The sequence below is a fragment of the Homo sapiens genome, chromosome 2, assembly GCF_000001405.40.
Source record: "Homo sapiens chromosome 2, GRCh38.p14 Primary Assembly".
NCBI lineage: Eukaryota > Metazoa > Chordata > Mammalia > Primates > Hominidae > Homo > Homo sapiens.
Genome location: NC_000002.12, coordinates 221,484,946 through 221,507,933, shown reverse-complemented (window position 1 = coordinate 221,507,933; position 22,988 = coordinate 221,484,946). Strand labels below are relative to the sequence as shown.

The 22,988-nt window shown below is 39.6% G+C and overlaps 1 protein-coding gene across 4 annotated transcripts in view; it reads left to right on the top strand.

Moving 5' to 3' along the window:
• The window catches only part of EPHA4 (EPH receptor A4), a 156,176-nt gene that overhangs the window by 66,269 nt on the left and 66,919 nt on the right, over positions 1–22,988 (top strand). For all 4 annotated transcript variants that reach the window (NM_001304536.2, NM_001304537.2, NM_004438.5 and 1 more), the window contains one exon: positions 6,762–6,917. In NM_001304536.2, coding sequence (NP_001291465.1) covers positions 6,762–6,917 — 156 coding nt within the window. The remainder of the gene's footprint in view (positions 1–6,761; positions 6,918–22,988) is intronic.

Below are 22,988 nucleotides of genomic sequence, written 5' to 3'. Positions count from 1 at the left end.
CTGATACATGCTAGACTCTGAGAAGAAAGATTAGAAACTACTGATCTTCCAAGATTAGAAGCTTCTGAGATGAGAAGTTTGGTATTCTTGCTGAATTTGGATTCAGGTAATCTCCAGTTTAAAAACTTTTTTTTAGTTAGCTAATGTCCAGACTAGAGCTTAGGCCGCACCTGAGAGACCTGTTACATCTTTCAAAGCTCTTGAACACTTTCTGTTGTCTCTGTCTTTATCTCAGTCTTGGGATTGAGAGTAAACCCTTTTCACAGGCAAAAGATTAAGGCATTATTTCTCTACATCAGTCATCAACACAAAGCATTTCAATTGCTATTGTAGTTGTTTCATGAACTTAGTGGCTCAGAAATTAAAAAAAAAAATCAGTATCATTCTTTCATTTCATAGACAAAAACAGTTTAAGCCCAGGATCCTCAGGGAAGAAAAACCCTAAAACAATGTAAATGTAAAATTAATCATAATATATAATTGCAGAAATTTGAACTGATTCAAAGAAATTGTCCCCACAATGGTATAGGAATAGCTTCCAAATCAGGCCATACCATTTAATCAAAAAAAGAAAATCAATTGAAAAGTGGTTTTACTTATAATGATACTGAGTAAAATCAGCTTTTCCAGTAAGACAGTTGATGAAAAGTTTACTCATTTGCAGCGATGACAAGAACATGCACTTTATTATGCTTTGTCATTCAAAACTTGGGGAGGCACTGCAGAGTAACAGACGAACCATGGAGTAGAGGCTCAATCCTAGTATGCTCCAGAAAGGACCCGTGGACAAGTTATTCATCTCAAAAATGAACATGTCCTACAAGATCACTGGTTGGCAAAGTATGACCCATGGGCAAAATCTGGCCTGCCACCAGTTTTTATATGATCTGACAGCTAAGAATGTTTTTTAATAGATGACATTTGGAATTGAATTGGTAATAATGAACATTTTCCTTGAAACCAAATTAAGTGAAATGTTCTCTCTCCAACAAAGAATTCCATTCCCCTCACTAATAACTCTATATTGCAAAAAAGTACTTAATGATTTACTATTATATTTTGAATTCTATCACTAAAAAAATAATTGTAAAAATTTGTTTTCTATCTTATTACATAAATACCTTCATCATATCCTTGGTCTTCCTCTTGGCCTCTGGCTCTTTACAGAAATGTTTGCCCATTCCTGGATGAGATGATTTTGAAGGTCCCTTCAACAATCTAATTTTTAACTATGCTCAACAGATAGCAGTCAAACCACTTGTAGAATGCAGGTGATTTGGACAATATGGATTTGCCAGCGTTTGGCTGTTCATGAATGGAAGAGAGTCAGATGGGTCCAATAACAGTTCCAATTGTCCATCTTCACCCTGCATGTTTGAAAAGAGAAAGCAGAGATCTATAGCGTATTAGTTTAAGCCATATTGTCTGTGTTAGAAAATCCACCCTGCCTTGGGCAAACCCTTAACCTTTGTGCCTTAATATTCCATCTGTACTGTGGGGAATTAATTGGTTAATGTTCACACCTTCCCCAAAGATGGCTGGGGCTTGCACATATTCACAAAAACTTCAAAAGCTGTAATGCTTTTTGACAGATATTTTTTCTTTCCCATCATTTTTTCTTATATTATTAACATAAGAAATAGTTTAACAAATGAAAAATTTATTGAAGAACTAATTTAATAATGGCCATTAAGAGACTTTGATATTTCTAACATAGATGCCTAAGCATACTGGATATATTATGTATCCAGTGCACAAAAGGCAGAGTTCCCATGGAAACTTTTTGGTCATGTGTGCCTAGTATCATGCCCACAAGATAGGGTTGGAGAGACCTATAAGCCTCTCTTTGCCAAATATTGTATGGAGACCAGCGTGCATAAAGGGTTCAGATTCTCCTTAGAATCAGTGTTGGAATTTCTAGACCCTCAAGCGACTCTATATTAAGGTGCAAATTTGTTACCTGGGAAGGTAATTTTTAACCCCCCATTAATGTCCATTTGTTAGTACTTTAGCCCAAATTAGGTTTTTAAAATTACCTAGCTGGTTGAGAGCAGTTCTTCAGGAAGTGTATCAGATTCTTCTAAGTAGGTTCAGGGTAAGTTTTGAAAACAGGTCCTTGGGGGATTGTGATACATCCTCCTTCACTTTCAGCACCCTGCGTTTGCAAGAGTAGCATGTGTGTGCACACGGCAGCACACACGCAATACTTAATACTCTAGCTTCTAGAGCAGCATTGTCTGATAGAGATATAATGCAAGCCACATAGATAATTTTAAGTGTTTCAGTAGCCACATTGAAAAATAAATTTTAGCCCAGGTGTGATGGCTCATTCCTGTAATCCTGGCACTTTGGGAGGCCGAGGCGGGCGGATCACGAGGTCAGGAGTTCAAAACCAGCCTGACTAACATGGTGAAACTCCATCTCTACTAAAAATATAAAAATTAGCCGGGCGTAGTGGCAGGCGCCTGTAATCCCAGCTACTCAGGAGGTTGAGGCAGGGGAATCGCTTGAACCCAGAAGGCGGAGGTTGCAGTGAGCTGAGGCCACACCATTGCACTCCAACCTGAGCAACAAGAGCAAAACTCTTGTCTCAAAAAAATAAATAAATAAATAAATTTTAAAGGTGAAATTAAATTTAATAATTTAAGTATACATTCAAAACATTATTGCTTTCAACATGTAATCCATATACAAATTATTAGTGATGTTTTACTTTTGGGATACTAAGTGTTTGGTATCTGGTGTATATTTTATACTCACAGCCAGTATTCATTGACCGGCCATATCTCAAGTGCTCAGTAACCACATGGGGTGAGCAGTTATTTTAATGGACAGTGTAGCTCTGAGGGACCTTGAACTGGAAAGTGGGTCACAGAGAGCAAAGTGTGGCTGCCTTTGTGGCTGATAAAGGCAGCAAGAGGATGGGCTGGGGGAACAAATAGAAGTTGGGACCAGCCCAGATCCTTACCCCTCCATTATACCCAAGTCATATTTTTGCTGAAGGTCAGACCTAACTCTAGGTAACTTAACCTTTTTCACTAAAAACTTTTAGAAAAACATAAGCACTGGAGTTAAATGCTTGGCCTTACCACTTAACTGTATGACCCTGGACAAGTTACTGAAAACCCTGTTTCTTCATCTGCAAAGTGGGAACAGTGATAATGCCTCAAGCTCACAGAATTATTGTGACAATTAAATGATCAATGAGCATATAAACAATGAATACTCAATGAATACTTGATATTTATTTTCACAATTGCTATTATTAGCTACTCTTAGGCACTAATTTAGTTTTAAAATGAACTATAAAGACAATCAGATACTATCAATTATTCTACATTTCTTAAAAAGCAGAAAAATGACATAGCCATATATATATATATATATATATATAAAATTTTCAAATAGTAGGTGTAATCAGCTCATTAAATTGGGCATTATACTGTCACGTACACACATCAATGCATCAAAAATCCAGAAGATACTACGTTACCAAGACTATCTTAAAATTCGACTTTGTTATGGTAGTGGGTGAGCCAATGAAAGAAGAGTTGGTTCTTCTTTTTCCTCCTCCTCCTTCTCCTCCTCCATCTTTTTTTATTCAAAGCCAGCAGAAAGAGATAATTAAAGCAAAGCTAAAGGAATTGAATGCAAAGTTTGCATCATACGTGTGAACTAATCTTTTCTCCATGGCATATCTAGAAGATCAAGTAAGACACCCATTCAGATGGTTCATTAACTAGTGAAACTTCGGTGGAAATAGGGCAGGAGGAAGTAGTTTCTTGCTCACAAAGTCATTAGTATTCAAAAATACAGCATAGCAGTTCTCACCTAAAATAGAAGGATAAAAAATACTAACAGTCAATGCTTGTTATGCCAAGTACATCTTTCACAGGGGTTTTGTTTAGAATAAAAGAGATAGTGAAAGTTTTCAGATGCTAGTAAGTAGTGAATAAATGCAGAATGTACTTACACATTTATGTACCAAATGCTGGAAGGCTGTGCACCACATAGAGCAAAGAAATGTACTAAACCATCAATTTACTAGGTCATTTTAAATGTAGGCAGCAAAATGGCTATGTGCGTGAAAAGCCACTACTATATTTTGAGAGAGCCTTTCTAAGAATCCTGAAATATTAATAACATGGTCTTAATGTAGTTGGAGACAAAAGAAGGTGTTAAGGGTAGCAAGGCTGCCGAGAATAGCACAATGACAATTTTGTATTTTCTGCCTGTGTTTTATAAAAGCAAAAGGAAAAGAGTGTCTGTTTAAAGAACAGCAGCCTTCAATTTTCCAAACTGGTATAAAATTGGTATTTCCCAAATGAATTCACATATATTTATTCCTGGTGACATATTAATACCAGCTTCGAGGAAAAATAGGAAAAAATGTAAACTTGCAAATGCACTTTTTTCTTAAATTCACATAATATATAAAACAGGTTTTTGCACTGTAAGAAATTTAATGAAATTGAAGGCAACATTTTCCATTTTGATTTTTGCAAAAGATGAGTTTAATTTTTTAGCTGGAAGTAGTCTTATCAGAATAGCTTTTCAAATATGCCATTTGGACTTTGTGATGATCAGTCACTGGACAGTTTCTTGTCCTTGTCGATCTTCCACTCCCACTGTGAGTTTTTCGTTTTTGATGCTTGTTGAAATTGAGGGGTGCATGAGAATCAGTCAGTAATATGCAGTTTTCTGCAAACATTCAGATGTGAAAAAAATGAAAGCATTTTGTGCCTTCTTTGCAGTCCTGAGTTGCCACAAGTTGCTTTTGTCGACTGCGACTGACTGAGTGACAGGCGGGACCCAGTGGGTTTGTGTTCCTGTTCAGAGGCTCATTGTGTTTGATGTGAGAAAGCTGGGCTTGACCCCCAGTCCTTCTTCCTGCTAAAGTCAGGGTTTCTGATTTTAATCAAAACCCTAGGGCCATCTTAAGCATGACCAAAAAAGCACCTTGCAAGTTGAACCTTATCTAATTATGCAATGTGTATAAACTTGAGACACATAAATCTCAGTCATTGGAGCAACTTGTTTTTCTAAGATGCTCCGGTCCAGTGAAAGACGAAAGCAAATAAGGGAGAGATTGATCTCCCAGCACTTTTATTGTCAGTGCTCCACACGTCATAAAGTTTTGGCTTGTTAAAGGAAATTCCATAAACAACTTCAGTTAGTAAGAGTGAAGTAACTGTGTGCCTTCCTGAGCCCCTGCTAAATTCCCTTTCCGCTTGCCATTACAAGAGTATGATTAAGAAAATGCCAACAGGATATGCGAGTGGGTGGAACAGACTTCAGCTGGAAGCCATACAGATGCTTGATGGATGAGTAGTGACAGTGAGATGATGGCCCTATCTCCAGAGAGAATCAAGCAGTTTCATGGATCTCTTTCTAGTACTCATTTCAGTAAGATCTGCTGCGTTGCTGCATGGTTGTTCCGTTTTGGCTGCCAGGCTGATGGAAAATGGCTGATAGGTCCTTCTCCCCACTGCTGTTTCTGATAGTATAGACAAGTCCTAAGGACATGATGAATGAAAAGAAACGAGAGTGAATCATGCTGGAAAGATTGTGGGTTACTGGCACATTTTCTTTGAACCTCTGGTGTTATGAAATAACTTTACTCTTAATGGCCTTGTCTCTGTGGGTTTAATGCTGATGGTGTTGGTCAATTTTTATCTGGGGTTGAGACAGATTTGAGAGGCGATCATGAAAGGCCATGGGGGAAGGAAAAAGAGTGGGGAGCAAGTAGTCATTATTTTTTATTATGAGTTTTCCCAGAATTAGTGAGTTTTTCCACACTACTAAAAGTGGTCCTTAGTGTCAGTATGATGACAGTGTCAGTGTGATGTTTATGAAGATGAAGTCATGGAAAGGATGTCAGGTGTATAAAAAACTATATGGCCCGTGTTCTCTACACCAGGCTCTCGGGAGGTGTGTGCATTGCAGGGGAAGGGTGCTGGAAAAATGGAAAGAGGGAAAAACAGGAGGGTTTTATGAACTTGAAAATAGACACAAAATATTCGCTGATCAAAAAACAAATCTTAGCATACTATATTCCAAAATCTCCAGTTGATAGTTTTTGTTATTTCACCCTGAAACTGTGACCCGTGCCTTACAAGCTCGTCTTTTTTACTTGCTTGCCTTTGTTGATCTTTCGATTTGGTTCTTTCTGTAGTTGTAATTGGGAAATAATCACCACCCGGTTTTTTTGTCAGCACTTGGATACACTTCCCACTGGTTGGCTAAAGGCTACACTCTGAAATTCCATAGCATGTGACTAAGCATACAGGCTTTGAGGGCAGAACACTTGGGGTCAAAGCTGGGTGCTGACACTTAGCAGATGTATGGTCTTGTGCCCTCAATTAACTGCTCAAAGCTGAAATTCCTCACTTCTAAGGTAGAGATAATGCCTGTCGAAAAGGGGTGCTGTAAGAATTAAGCAGCATAATGTGTATAAAGGGTATCTGGCACATAGAAAGGCGTTCGGTAAACTTTGCTGTGCTTTTCCTTGATTCTGCCAGGTTTAAGAAAATTTCTTCCTTTGGACTTCTTGACACCTGACCAGGAATGTTAATGGCCCTTAAAGAGCGACTATACTCAATGAATGCTTTTGGTTGCATGACCTGCATTTCAAGCCACATGATCGCTAATGATTAGCAAGAACGTCTCCCTTCTTCTGAAACAAGGAGGTGGCTTTGCATTTTTGCTTTGGTCTATTTGCAGTGGTTTCTATTTGTTTGTTTTTTTCTTCTTCCCTGCAGCTTGCAAAATTGGATATTACAAGGCTCTCTCCACGGATGCCACCTGTGCCAAGTGCCCACCCCACAGCTACTCTGTCTGGGAAGGAGCCACCTCGTGCACCTGTGACCGAGGCTTTTTCAGAGCTGACAACGATGCTGCCTCTATGCCCTGCACCCGTAAGTTGTATGCTTGTCTCTCATTCCTGTGATGCCAACAGCTTTCATTACCACCTAGCAAGGCACTGCCAGGTCTTCTCCTGGGATAATCATTCAGGGGGCACTTGAGATCAAACATTCATCCTTTCTCAATCATAGCAGGGGAAATGCTTGTAAAAAGAAAGGGTCTTTCCCACTGCTTCTGGTTGCCTTCAGTGTGCACAGCTGCCTACAGACTACTTGGTGGAGAAGAGATTGAGTGTTCAGAGGTTGTCTGACAGTGTAATTAGAGCTGAGATTGGAATTTATTAGTGGCTTTGCCATTGCACTGAGGACTCAGGGAAGCTTGACAACTGGCAGGAGAAACAGGTAGACGGCAGGGTTTGGGAATGTGGTTTCAGTCTGTAAAGGACAGCTCAGTGTGCACTGAGATCATTGCTTAGGTTGTCATTACACCTCTTCCTTCTCTACTCATAGTTTTGTGTTCATAAGACTTAGGCCCCAATCCTAATAAATGCTTGTTTAATGATTGCATTTAATAAATGCTGGGTTAATGAATGGATGAGGCTGGGAAGCTTGGTATGAAGAGCAGGAGTGAAGAAATATTTTCTCACACTTTATATGGACAGTGTTCCTAGGTGTTACCATTCCTTTCATGTACACTTGGGCCTTCACAGACCCTACAATGGCTGTGACCTTGATCGGAATGGGGAGCACTGGGCCCATGAATTTCCATTAGGTGAATCTGTGCTTGGAGGGCTAGCCTCATGGCTCAGGTCAGACACCTTCCACAGATTTTGAGTTTGTTTCCCAGCCTGTTGTGTAGCTGGGTGGCTGTTGAGTCTCTTCAGTCTGTTTCCTCACCTGGAGAATGGAGTTAATAACAGTGCCTCCTAATGGTTGTTGGTATTAAACAGCCTCATGTTGTTTATGTGCTATGTACATCGCATAGGATGATGCCATTTCATATATTTTAGCTTTGGCCGGGAGCGGTGGCTCACGCCTGTAATCCCAGCACTTTGGGAGGCTGAGGTGGACGGATCACCTGAGGTCAGGAGTTCGAGACTAGCCTGGTCAACATGGTGAAACCCCGTCTCTACTAAAAATACAAAAATTAGCTGGCATGGTGGGTGGTGCCTATAATCCCAGCTGCTTGGGAGGCTGAGGCTGGAGAATCACTTGAACCCAGGAGGCAGAGGTTGCAGAGAGGCGAGATCGCACCATTACATTCCAGCCTGGGTGACAATAGCAAAACTCTGTCTCAAAAAAAAAAAAAAAAAATATATATATATATATATATATATATATATATATATATATATTAGTTTTAGTTATCATTATGACTATTATTATTTTGTTTCCTAACTACTATAAATGGTATTTTGGCCAATCTGGAGCTAACAACCCTGCAAATAAAAGGTTTTTGGGTATTTGAGCACTTTGGGCCACTGGGCAATCAAGTCCTGTCTTTAAAATGAGTGGAGTGAGTCTCCAGGTCTCTCTGACTTTATATTCAAATTGCTGTAACCTCCAGAGTTTCTTTCATAATGAGAGATAATAATGATGATGATGACAATTTTATAATTATGCCCAGGTAATGTATTAGGTACTTGAAAAAAATCTTAATACGTGGTTTATAAGAAATCTGTTAGGTAGGTATAATCTTTATTTTATAGAAAAGGTAACTGCAAGCTCAGAGATGTTAAGGAACATGCTCAAGATCACACCCTACCTTGGACAGAGTTGTACAACCTGAAGACTCACCTAGTTTCTATTTTATATTATTATTATATTTATATTATTATATTTATATTTTATATTATTTCTATTTTATATTATTCTATTATAGAGAATCTGGGAGATTCTCTTGCTGGCTCTCCCAAGTCAAGCATAAACATTCAGAGTTAGGGAGAATCCTAGGGTCAGTCTCAGATGTAACTGTTAAAAAGGTTAGATGCAGTAGCTCAGGCCTATAATCCCAGCACTTTGGGAGGCCGAGGCAGGCGGATTATTGAGGTCAGGAGTTCAAGACCAGCCTGGGCAACATAGCAAAACTCCGTCTCCACTAAAAATACAAAAATTAGACAGGCGTGGTGGTGTGAGCCTGTAATCCCAGCTGCTCAGGAGGCTGAAGCAAGAGAATTGCTTGAACCGGAAGGCAGAGGTTGCAGTGAGCCGAGATTGCACCACTGGACTCCACCCTAGATGACAGAGGAAACTCTGTCGTCTCAAAAAAAAAAAAAAAAAGAAAAAAAAAATAGCCAGGACTGGTGCCTTTCACCTGTGGTCCCAGCTACTTGGGAGGCTGAGGCAGGAGGATCACTTGAGCCTGGGAGGTCAAGGCTGCAGTGAGCTGCATTCACATCACTGCACTCCAGCCTGGGTGACAAAAAAAGACCCTGTCTTAGAAAAAAAAAAACGAAAACAGAAAAACTGTAAATAGGCAAGGATTGTTTTTGCTTTCTTTCTTTCCTGTTCCTCCATAGACTAAGAACTTTCTCTGCGTGGCCACTTTTGTTTGAACTCTTCAGTCCCAACCTTTTTCTTTTCCAATGTAAATATTTTCATGCTATGTTCCATTTGTGTGATTAGTTTAATAATAAACTCCCCATCTTTATCCACACCTGCTACCAACAATTTTCTTGTAGGAATCTGGGGCACAATAGTAAACTCAAGGGGAAGTGTTTGAGGCTGACATTTTGAGGATGGCCCTCAATTTGCATCATGTACTCCCCCACTTACTTTCCATGCAGATAAAGCCTTCTCTAGGTTGAGATTTGATTGTATTATGAGTGTCATGAAATGTATCTCTGATGGCAGGAGGTCCTGGCTCTTTCTCCCAGGTATTTTTCAGTCTCATGATGCTGACCTGTTTAGCATTTAAGGGGACCATGTGCCCATCACTTTATTACCAAGTCTTGCTACTTGGGAGTTTAGGAAACCTCCAAAGATGGCCATATGTCTGTGTTGCTGGAACATTTGATGTATGTGTAATAAGGCTGTGGTAGTTGAGCCCTTGGAATTGTATTTTTAACTGTTAGCTTTATCTTAAGGATGCAAAGGGGAAGAAGAGAAAATTTGATTTTAGCATATGGATGGACCAAAAAGTCTAAAAATTAAAGTAACATTTGCATGTTTCAGAAGTCATTTTCCACAAGGTGAAGGGAAGGAAGGCTGGTGGCTTTTTGTGTCATTGTTAAAAGGTCCATGAAAATACCTGCTCTTGGAACTCCTTCTCCTACACTTTACTACTTCAAGGTCTTGTGCATTACTTTACTTACTTATTTTTTCATTTTTTTTTTGAGATGGAGTCTCACTCTGTCACCCAGGCTGGAGTGCAGTGGTGTGATCTCGGCTCACTGCAACCTCCACCTCCCGGGTTTGTGATTCTCCTGCCTCAGCCTCCCGAGTAGCTGGGACTACAGGCGCCCACCACCACACCTGTTTTTGTTTTTGTTTTTAGTAGAGACAGAGTTTCACCCTATCGGCCAGACTGGTCTTGAACTCGTCACCTCATGTGATCCATGGACCTCAGCTTCTCAAAGTGCTGGGATTACAGGCGTGAGCCATTGCACTCAGCCTTGTGCATTACTTTAATGGTTATCACATCCCACTTACTTTATATGCAGCACTTCAGTTAAGAGGAAACAAAGTGCTGATGGCGACGCCATCAACTTGCTGATCGGATCGCCTTGGCTGTAACCACTGACCAACACTGTGATATTCAGAGAGAGTTTACCCTCACCAGGCCCCAATTTCCTCATCTGTAAGTTGGAATTCTCACCATCTACCTCTGGGGCTGTTTTAAGAATGAAATAAAAAAAATTTGCAAAGTTCTGGCACCTGGTAGGGATCTAATCAATGTTTGTTCTCTTCCTCTTTTATTTCCAGCTGGTCACTTCCTTCCCCAAACTGCCTCCACAGCAGGTTGACAGCTATCTCACTGCCTCTCTATCAGTGATTTTTTACCCTTGCGTGCATAATTAAATTACTTGATGGCTGCCCTGTACCCCAGGATTTCTGGTGGGGGGGTAGGACTCAGGCATCAGTATTTTCAAAAATCAGTCTGTTAATTTATTGTACAGTTAAGGTTCAGACCCCTCCAATGGAACTAAATTTTTTTTTTTTGAGACCGAGTTTTGCTCTTGTCACCCTGGCCGGAGTGCAATGACACAATCTTGGCTCACTGCAACCTCTGCCTCCTGGGTTCAAGTGATTCTCCTGCCTCAGCCTCCCAAGTAGCTGGGATTACAGGCACACGCCACCACATCTAGCTAATTTTTTGTATTTTTAGTAGAGATAGGGTTTCACCATGTTGGCCAGGCTGGTCTTGAATTCCGGACCTCAGGTGATCCACCCACCTCGGCCTCCCAAAGTGCTGGGATTACAGGCATGAGCCACCACACCCGGCCAACAGAACTAAACTTGTAAGTATTTTTTTAAACTTAAACATTAACTGCATAAGCCTCTGAAGACTTCCTCTGAGATAGGGATAATCAGGGAAGTGACTATACTTTGCTGATAATAGATATAGTCGTAAGTCAGGCAGCAGAACTGGATTCTAATTCTTAGCCTATGGCTCTTCCTTTCGACATCTCCCTTCCTAGTGAATATAATGGACCTGTATTGTCTAGTACTGTAGACACTTGACACGTGGCTATTTAACCTTAAAGTCATTAAATTGAAATTTAGGTTCTTATTTAAACTTGGCACATTTTGAGTGCTCAATAGCCATATATGGCTAGTGGAGACTATACCGGACGGCAGACCCAGAGAACGTTTCTATCACCACAGAAAGTTCTATTGGACAATACTGTAGTAGACGTTCCAACAGAGAAGACAGTAGGAGTTTCTCAAAGAACCTCTTGTTCAGATGATCCACAGAGTAACTCTCCCCACTCGCACGCTGCCCCCAGCTTTATCGGATTCTCTTGACAAGATGTGGGGATGGGAAGCAGCATAAACATCAGGGGTCCTTTCAAACTGATTCCAGCCTCTAATCAGTTCTTCCCAGTTGGTTAAGCCAGGTGACAAACCCAATTCCCTTGTGCTGACAGCCATGATAATCAGGCACCTTCTTTGTTCATTATGCTGTCTTTAACCCCAGCATTCTTATGCAGCCTCGCATTTAGTGATCGCTCACTGTGACGGCACACTAATGAAGAAATAAAACACACTATCTGAGCCTCATTCTTCTAGCCAAAGAGAGACTGTGCTCCACTGGCTTGTAAAATCAGGTTTTTGTTCACTTGGAGAACAATTAGACCAGGTGAATAAAAGTAGCATTGGCTAATTTAGAAGGAAACTGCCTAGGAAGTTTGCACCATTGACGCTGCTGGAGAGCTTAAGAGAATTTAATCGTAAACAAACTTTACCTTTGGGAATACTTTTGCTGGAGCCTCTGGTTAGGTTAACATAAATGGCTGCCTGTGAGATGTGCTGAGATGTTTCTATGGAAGCACCATCGGAACATTTTCTGGAAAATAGCCCATAACTATTTAGAACAGGGAGTTTAGAACAGAGCTTTTTAAACATCCACATGCACAAAAATCACATGGAAATCACCTGCGGATTAGGAGGAGCGAGGTTAGGCCTGAGAGTCTGTTTCTGACAAGTTCCCAGGTGAGGCTGAAGCTACTGATCTGTAAAACCGTCTTTAGGCAGCAAGGATTTAGATTCCCAGCCCCACGGCTGTCAGGAGACAGGAGATTCTGTTTTGATGCCTGTAACTTTCAGACCTGTTCTTCAGCTCAGTGGTGACTCTAGAAAGGTATTTCATGGATTCTGATCATTCTCCCTTCATGGAAATGGAATACTTCATCTGTCTCCTGTATGAAGAAAATCCAGCCTGGGTAGAATCATACAACCAAATGCACTCACTGTGGAATTATTTTTCTTTTTAATTTTGCTGTTGTTTGTTTGTTTCTTCCAGAATCCTCACCAAGTTATTGCCAGAGAGTAGAAATGTAAATGTTCACCTTAGACACCTGTATCAGTCAAGAGAGGCAAGAAGTTTTTTTTTTTTTTTTTTTTTTTGGCAACATTGCCAGGACAAGCACCATTATTTCTGCACATTCAGGGCTGCCATTAAAGCTGATGTCAGGATTTTGATTTTATGAATCTTTTCTTAACAGGGATTTTGATGTGATTTTTATTAATGAAATTAAAGTCCTTTAACTCTACGAATGACTAGCTCTTTCCCTTCTCCAGATCTGTTTCTCCTTGTTTCCCTGCCCCTTCTGGAATGCAGTCTGGTTATCAGCAGGACTGGGCGTGGTCAACCTCACACCCCTGCAGGAAGACTTCTGATGGTCTTAGTCATGTACTTGCTTGTTCAATGATTGTAGTGAGCAAGATCTTCTTTTCCCCCACTGGGAAGCTAAATCAATGTTATATTTAAAGTAACTTTCTTTTTTTGTTTTCCCTTTTTTGAGATAGAGTCTCACTGTGTTGCCCAGGCTGGAGTACAGTGGCGCTATCTCAGCTCACTGTAACTGCCACCTCCCGAGTTAAAACAATTCTCCTGCCTCAGCCTCCCAAGTAGCTGGGATTTACAGACATGCACCACCATGCCCAGCTAATATTTTTGTATTTTTAGTAGAGCCTGGGTTTCGCTATGTTGACCAGGCTGGTCTCGAACTCCTGACCTCAAGCGATCCGCCCGCCTAGGCCTCCCAGAGTGCTGGGATTACAGGCGTGAGTCACTGCACCCGGCATTAAGGTAACTTTCTTTTCCAACCCCTTATTGTATTTCAAAATGTGCTAGAAAAGTACCTTGTAAAGGTAGTAAATTGGCTTTGCATATCTAGAAAAATGTAGCTCATCTGTCATTTTGCCACCTTGACTTCTGAGCACTGTTACCAGAGTAGTTTTTCGTATTTTTCAATTGGAAATCTGTCCCTGTGCTTTTGGGTGCTCTTTATTTAACTTGTTTGATGAAACTTCTTAGAGCCTGGTGATTGGGAACACTCTGTAAATGAGAGATTATTATTTTAGATTGCCAACTTGAAGGGCCTTTACGAATCTGTCTCCAAGTAAACAGCCTCGAATGTGCCAAACAAACAAAGAGTGATTGATTGATACTTAGACGTGGCCGAAAATATTCCAAAATTGCAGCTTTCAAGACATTTTATACTAGGAGAGCTCAGAGCTAATGAGGGCAGATTTCCTAAGATCTATGACCAGAGGTCCTGATTTGAAAAAACTTTCTCCAGGTTTACGTTATCAAGAAATTGAAACAGCCAAGTTCCAAACAACAAACATCACTTACTTTGTCTCTACATTTGCCTTTTCTAATTGAATTTAGTGCGCTGCTGTATTTCCTCCCAGAAAGTGTATTGTTTTAAAATTACCATTTCAGTTCTATTACTCAAAGCCCTCGCTGCTAATGCTTTCTGACAGTTATCAACATAATGAGCCATAATGAAATGATGAGCAATCTTCGGTGGAAACCCAATGTCGATTCGACCGGTGCTGTGTGACTGTGTTGTGAAAATTTGAATGCAAATTAAAATAACATCGTCCTTACTTGTTTCCAAGGTCAGGAGAAGGGAGGGACTCTTTTCCTTTTTTATTTTTTTATTTTTTATTTTTTTAAGGGCTTTAATTTTGGGAATCTCACATCCATTTTCAAACAAGCTCTTGAAGGTGCCCCTGTTATTCTGTTCAATTCTCTACCCCAAAGATTTACATGCTTAGCAGTCTGGCTAAGGGATTTGGGGAGGGATGTCTAGAGCGAGGCTTTGATGTATAAACCATAGGATAAAATGCAGCCTTCAGTTTCAAGTAAACTATATATTTTTTTATCTACCCGAAAGCATATTTCTTTTTGCTTTAGAGCTGCAAGTAACTAATCATATAATGATGGGGGAGGCATACATTCTGTGAAATAGGTCAGTGAGGGTGCAGTTAGCTCTAGTGAAAGACTAGTTAGAAAAGTGAGAACAAAGGCCAAAGATTCCCAAAGTGTCGTAAATGAAAGTGTTTCAGAAGATTCATTGGTTGATCTCTAGCCATTTTATCATTCATGCAATCAATCATTTTCGTGAACATATTTTTATGAAAAATCTCAAATCCAAGTTTTCCAGGGGAATTTCTCATTCCATGTCATTTATCAAATTTGCAATGTAATAGTATAGTTTCATACTGCATTCCATTTGTCATAGGACAAAAACTCAGATTGAGACACCAACTCCTCCACTGCCAGATTACATAGTTGGTTTTTAGTTCAGAACATATGGTCCTGCTGCCTGTTAGTTGGTAAGCCAGCTAATGTGTCTGTCCCATGGACTGTACAAACTGATCAAAGCAACCAAAGACATTTGGACGATTCAGATGCAGCCGTCAACGTATGCTGCTGCTTCAGTTAGAGCTTAGTAGTTCAACATCTGATGTTAGCTAGTGAGTATACCACATTTTTGTTTCTTCCTTTCGGATTGCCTTTCAGCATTTTAGCTACTAAAAGGAAAAAGTACCTCTAGACAACCAAGTGGATGGTTTTTGTTTGAAGAAAATTAAAGATAAAGGGAGAAAGATCACCAGGTGAGCTTCAACGAAGGCACTAGATAGACCCCAGACTGATCATTTGCCATTTGGTTGTTTGCAAAATTTTAAGAGCCTCATGATATTTCATAAAGATCAGGTATCATCTCACTGAATTCTTTTTAAAAAAATGCTGTTTTAGCTTCCTCTTTTTTTTCCCCACATACTCCCCATTTTATAGTCATAAACAGCCCATTATGGATTCCACTGGAAAATGCAAAGATTCGAGGGACACTAATATATGCCCAAGTGGAAGGCTTGAATAATCTGCCAATGCCATTTAGCCAGGTTATTACAATTTTTCTACCACCCTGAATAATTAAGAGTGGCTTGTCATTGACCGAGTCCTGTCATTTCTGGATGCCATTTTTGACACTATGCATGGAAGTCATACAGTGGTTATTCACAGCATGCTTCTATGAAACAAGGTTAATTACACATTTTTCTGAGATCCCCTGGGGTGAGAACGGGGTATCTTCTTTTTTTCTTTTTTTAAGACAGAGTCTCACTCTGTCTCCCAGTGGTGCAATCTCAGCTCACTGCAACTTCCACCTCCCAGCTCAAGCAGTTCTCCCACCTCAGCCTCCCAGGGTGCTAGGATTACAGAAACGAGCCACCACACTCAGCCCAGGGTATCTTCTTTGCTATCAACATTTAGATTTATGAGAGATTCTGCTATAGAGATATAATTGCCCCTCGCCCTATTCCTATGATCTTCCACCTAGAAAAAGAACCTTTAATAGAAACTCCTAGCCACTCTCTTGCACAGAAGGTAGGAACAAGGCAGAAAAGATAATCCCCATGAAAATGATAAAAGAGGATCATCTGGGAAGTAGTACTAGCTAGCCATCATCATCATGAAGGGCAGGGAAGTGAGGTGAAATTGAACTCTGGGGTGAACTGAGAAAGTTGGAAACTTTCTATCCAATTCTCAAAAAGAATTTGTAATTATGGGTTATTATTTTCTTTATATTATTTGTATCTCTATGAAAGGGAAGCAGGGTTGTTTAGCCTTGGAGTCAGGGTTTCTGATCACAGCTTTGCGCATGTTGGCTGTCTTAATTTTGGCAATTTGCTTAACTTATCTTAGTTTTTGGCGATCAGATTGTTGTGAACAATAAATACTTTTCTGTCAGATTTGATTGCAGCTGTTAAATAAGATACAAAAAAGTGCTTTGCAAGGAAAGTAAATTAATGCACAGGCTAGATAATTTTAAAAATGAAATACTCAATTCTACTTTTCTTGGTCTTTGGCGTGGTAGCTTTCTTGTGTATAACTGAGAATTTATAAGGCACTTCAGCCATAAACAAGTCATCCTAATAAAAAGAAACCAAACCCCTAATTAACCCAGTAAAAAAAAGACAAAGATCACTGGAGAGGAGAATGGGAAAGGAGATAGAACCAGAAAAATAGGTTATGGGAAAGTCTCACAACAAGAAATGAACCTCTATAGGAAGCCAAGAATTTTTCATGACAGCAGCAAGTGATTGATGCATCCAAAAGGTTCTGGTTTAATCATGGACAGCCCTGCTTGGCTGTCTTTGTTGTAAAAACACATAAACCACCATGATAAGAGGTTATGCACTGTTCATATATGTCAGGAGGGATGTCTTTAAAACAGCCATCTTTATGTAAACTAACCCACAGCAGATAGGACTGGGAGAAAGCAATTAGTGGTGGCAACATATACAAATGTCAGGGGAAGCATGGGCTTTATTTCAGAGTCAAAACGTAATGCATCCCAACTGTTGACTCTTCCTTATAACCTGTCTTTCAGCTGGAGAGAGATTAACAACAAAGGCTTATCTGAAGGGTTGAAGGGTTTTACAGCTAAGACGCTGAAGTGCTATTGACAGTCCAAAAGTTGTACATGATTAATGAAGCCTTAGGAAATGGAACTACAGACCCAAGGTGCTGCTTCCTCCAAGATATGTGTTGGACTGGTTGCCTTAGCATTTTAGTGAGGTGACAGCAGTGCTTAAATACATCGATCATGGGAGAGTTACCTTTCTGCCCATGCTCTTGGGGGATGCTCCATTTCCCATCCAGAATGAATTTCATAGCCCAGGCATTGAATTTTAAAATGGCGATTAAAAATCAGTTAAGTATTAGATGTCTGTGATAGCTCTGGAAACTACTCTATCACATGAGACCAGAGACTTTGGTTTTTCTATCAACTGTCTTCTTGCCTTGGTTGCAGACTTGATTTTCTTTCTTTCTTTTCTTTTTTTTTTTTTACATTTTAGCATGTGATTGCCATTTTTTCTCTCTTTATTATTATTATTATTATTTTGCTTAGCTTTTGTGACATACAAAAGTGCTATGGCAGTGGGTTTTTTTTTTTTTTTTTGAGACAGGGTCTCAATTCATCACTCAGGCTAGAGTACAGTGGCATGATCCCAGCTTATTGCAACCTCCACCTGCCAGGTTCAAGCAATCCTCCCACCTCAGCTTCCCAAGTAGCTGGGACTACAGGAACATGCCACTACACCTGGCTAATTTTTATAATTTTTGCAGGGACAGGGTTTCACCATGTTTCCCAGGCTGATCTTGAACTCTTAGGCTTGTCAAGCCTTCCACCTACCATGGCCTCCCAAAGTTCTGGGATTACAGTCATGAGCCACTGTGCTCAGCCATAGTGCTATGGTAGTGATGCTTCTGATTAGTGAGCTGGACTGGGCTAAAGCATCATCATTCATTCATTTGTTCATTTAGCAGATATTTATTGAGTTTCTACCAGATGTCAGGCATTACTCTGAAGGCTGTAGATATTCTCATAAACCTGAAAAAGAGAAGATTCCTTTTCTCCTGGAGCTTATGTTCTAATGGGAATATAAACAAACAAATGAATAAGATAATTGAAGGTTCTCCTAAGAAGGAAATTTTTAAAAATGTGATGCAATTGGGTGCATTGGGACAGGGAAAGGGAGGATTTCAGTTTGTATGGAGTAGTCAGGAATGAGAACTATTCCAGGGATAAGAAGTCAGTCAGTCAAAGGGCCGGGAGTGAGAATTCCAAGCAGAACTACCAGCTCCAAGGTATTTTGAGTTGCATGTGCAAAATTTTGCTAACAATGTGAGTTTTAAAGTTGACTTACTTTTTTCCACAGTTTTGCATTCTGTTGGCACTTTAATTCCAGTCGTTACGAGAAATAGAACTTTTAGGTTTATATGGCACGTTACACCGTATATCCACATATATTTAAGCCCTTTGGCAGAACCCATTTCTGCCAAACCCATTTCAAAACGCAATTATCATAGCAGGTTTTCATCTTTTACTGAAGTTTCAGTTGCTTCCTGTAAGAATAAAGAAATGCATTTTCTCTGACTTTGGGTGTGAGGTAGAGTACATAGGGTACCTGGACTTTCCATGGAATGGTTTATACCAAACTTATAGACACACTGGAGACATTTCTGACTTTAGGTTTAGTGTTGGCTGACGGCTTTTAAATGACATTATTAAGGCTCACACAGATTTCATGTGGATATGTAAATACTGGCTTGTCCTAAAGGGGCTACTTTAAATCTTGACATAAGCCAGCAACTGTGTTCTCTAAACTACTCAAGAATTAAATTTTAGTCTAATCCATGGGAGGAAAGAATTAAGATATGTGGAATTACTGGAATTTTCTTTTATGCTTGGAATATTGCCGTTCTTAAATGTCACATTGACAGTATGTGGTTCATTTCCAGAAGCTTGTTTTTTTCCCCAGAGAAGAGCACATGGTTGGTAAAGGAAGATCAAGATTCCTTTTATAATACAACATGATATGATGTGATATTTTATAATATGATATGATAGCCCTTTGTATCTACTATCATGTGGCTATAGTTTCTTTGGGGCTTAATGCTGTCAAACTCCTGTCAACTGAATGTGAGGTGACATCCCACTAGAAAATAATAATTACCCATTGTAGCACCTTTCTCTGGTACTTGCTGTGTGATGCAGAAAGTATTTCACACCAGTGAAGTGAATGGATGTTCATTAAATGTATCTATAATGGCAAGAAATTCAGTGCCCGTTTCTTTCAGAGCAATGAGAAACTCAAGAAATAAGCCATATGTCTCATTTTATTCCCTCCTTAGTCAATAAAGGTAGGTCTAACTTGGACTTTAGCAGCCAGAGTTGTCACCTGGGCTATATACATAGGTTAATCAGGGGTTCCTGGACTGAGCTTTTTAGATAGGCTTTTTAGTTCCTGGAATTACATGCAGAATTCTGAGGGTGCCAGAGAGCATCTTCCTAAAAAGAAGATGCCTTGCTTTCATCATATTTTCAATAGCACGAAATGGTCTGAAGGTCAATTTTAACGGCCACCTATTTTTGCAAATAAGTTTTCTTGGAGCACAGCCATGATCATTTGTTAAGGTATTGTCTATGGCTTCTTTGGAGATAGAATTACAGAGTTGAGTAGTTGCTGCAGGGAGCAGATGGCCCATAAAGCCTAAAATATTTATTTTCTGGCCAGATCATAAAATTTCTTTACAGAGAAATTATGCCGGCCCCTGTGCAAAAGATTTATAAACTAAAGATTATTGCATTTGACTTCTATTTCTGGGATTACCATTAATATCTGGGCCACTAAGTTATATTACAAATGTAAAGGGCATACTAAATATGAAAACTTTAAAATAGTTGAACATGCTATTTTCATTTTTGGGTGCAGGCACAGAGAGAATCCTGGGCTTATATGTGAATTTCATGGGAAATTTACAAATACAACCAAAAACGTGAAGGAAGGGTGTTTATGTTCCCTTAAATACACCTCAGCATTTGATTAATTTATATGAGGTTGGTACAAAAGTAGTTGCCATTAAAAGTAATGACAAAAACCACCATTACTTTTGTACCAATCTAATATTTTAGAATGTCTTGATTTGGGTGAAAAAATTAAAATTAAAGGCAAAAGCTGTTGTTCCATAAAGACTAATATGGAAAATACCTGTCTACCTTTAGAAATGTTAAAATTAAGCTTCTTCAGAGATAAAGTTTTCCCCAGAGATAAAGCTTTCATGTCTGAGTAAATCACCTCCTGAAATCAAGGTGGAGGAAGAAAAGTGTAATAACCAATCCCAATTTGATAAAACCTTATTTGATAGAACCCACATTTCAAATTCCCAGCCGTCGCTGGTTACACAGCTGTAAAAACAGGACAAGGCAGGTGCTTGCTCTGACATCCACTGCACATATAATCCCTATTTAGTTTCCTTGAGTCTCTGCCTTTTTCCCTAGGTTCCCTATCCATTCCTGCAACTATCTAGGCAACTATCAGGAAGTTATCAAAATGAATAAGAATATTTTTCCTCTCTCCTCTAAAGCAGGTGATAAACACTAGATACACCATAAATGTTTTTTGAATAAATGAATGATTCACAATCTCTCCCAGCAGAAGTAACCACTAATATTTTATATATAGCCCTTTCTACTTTTTCCAAAGTAATTCTAAACCATGAAAAAAAGAGGCAATTGAAACAAACTAGTTACACTGAGTTACTACTTCACAGGTATAAAGCTAATGAATCTGTATGTGAAAAGTTGACTAGTACAGCTTTGGCTCGGAGAAGGCTGCATAGTTCACACACTTCATAACACTGGGTATAAGATGCATTAAAGGACTTCATTAGTTTTTAATTCATTCATTCATTGACTTATCAAACATTTTTTGAAATTTCTGAACGAGGAACCATGGTAGAAAACAGGAAGTGATAAAGACATCAATTATTATTATTATTATTATTATTATTATTATTATTATTATTTTGAGACAGAGTCTCACTCTGTTACCCAGGCTGGAGTGCAATGGCGCGATCTCAGCTCACTGCAACCTCCGCCTCCCAGGTTCAAGAGATTCTCCTGCCTCAGCCTCCCAAGTAGCTGGGACTACAGACGTGTGCCAGCACACCTGGCTAATTTTTTTTTATGTATTTTTAGTAGAGACGGGGGTTTCACCATATTGGCCAGGCTGGTCTTAAACTCCTGACCTCAGGTGATCCACTTTGGCCTCCCAAAGTGCTGGGATTATAGGCGTGAGCCACTGTGCCCGGCCAAGACATCAATTCTTGAGGAGCACATATACTGGTGATAGAAACAGACATGGAATGGTGTCTAAGTAGCAAGACACCATTATATGTTACAAACAAAGCAGGAAAGGAAATAAGGAACTGAAATGTCAAACAATGACATAAGCATAAGGACTGGTGTTATGCCAGTCCTGTATTGAGGCTAGTAGTGGGTAGTTTTGAAAACAAAATCTTGCCATTCACAATGACCCTCAAGCTACCCGATGGGTGTATGTACTCAGTAGGTCGATTCAGATGTGGAGACTAGAAAATTAGAACAAGTACAACAGTTAGCCCTTTTTTGTTATAAACCTCATATTTGTAATTGGAGACTTACTCGCAGGTGGACATATTTCTGATGACAAAGGCAATCACTCTGTCAGAAATTTAATTGCTTCTAAATAGCCAGACACAATACTTACATAAATGAAAGAGAAAATAATCGGAGTTAGGTTTTTTACTTCTGGATGCCTTGTATTTATTAAAAGAGAGCTCAGATTACTCAGAATACCAGTTTTCTCTTCTTTTTAGCCATCTCTGTAGGTAATTGTTTACCAAGATGCTGCAGTTCGGTATTAACTACAGGCCCAGATTGGCTTTTGGCTATATTCAAGCCCATATTTGTTTCTCAATGTCTTGAGAATAGAATACTTTTATTCTCCTCCTCCTAAAGAGGAGATGGGCCCTCCCTTTAAATGAGAAACACACTTATATATTTGTAATCTTTTAATTGGCAGGGAAACAAAAAAAAAGAAACCACAATCCCACAAGCACAGCATACCACATTATGATTTTAATTTGTAAAGCGTGTGTCCTCTCCCAGGTTTTTTTCCAGACCAACATCATAGTCATATTGGATGGATTTTCTATACTTTGTTTTCCCCTCTATCATATGACTTCGTTATACTCCAATTTCGAGGCAGCGACAGTGTCCCCACAAAGCTGTCACTCTCTATGATAGCAAAGCATAAAACATACGCAGTACGATTTACCAGCACTGAACTTGAATTTGCCTAATTCTCAGTCTTGAGCATCCAACCCAGAGCCTTCCTTCAGAATCGCTGCCCACAGGAAGAAGGCTGCCCTAGCTTAGCACGTGTTTTCGTGCCAGCCCTCCATTTTGAAATCCTGCAGCATCTTTGTCATTTTTTTTTCCACGTGGAAGTGCTATATCTCTGAGTCCTGAAACCATTTAGTTTTCTGCTCCATTTCTTCTCTGTTTAGACACTGCCGTGCCCCGTCCTACATACTAATTACTGACTTTTTGCTTCTGTGGTGCTTGATTCATTGTGTCACATTTTCCCATGTGAAAGTGGACCAGGAACCTTGGCAAGGAGGTTAATGGATTTCAGAGTCACTCTTATTTAACCCTGGAAGTCACAGCAAAAGAAGAACCAATGACTGACCCATTTGATAAACCAAGCCCTGGTCAGCTTCAGCTGCAGACTAGTAATGGATTTCACTATGGTGGCAAGCATTACAGAATTAAA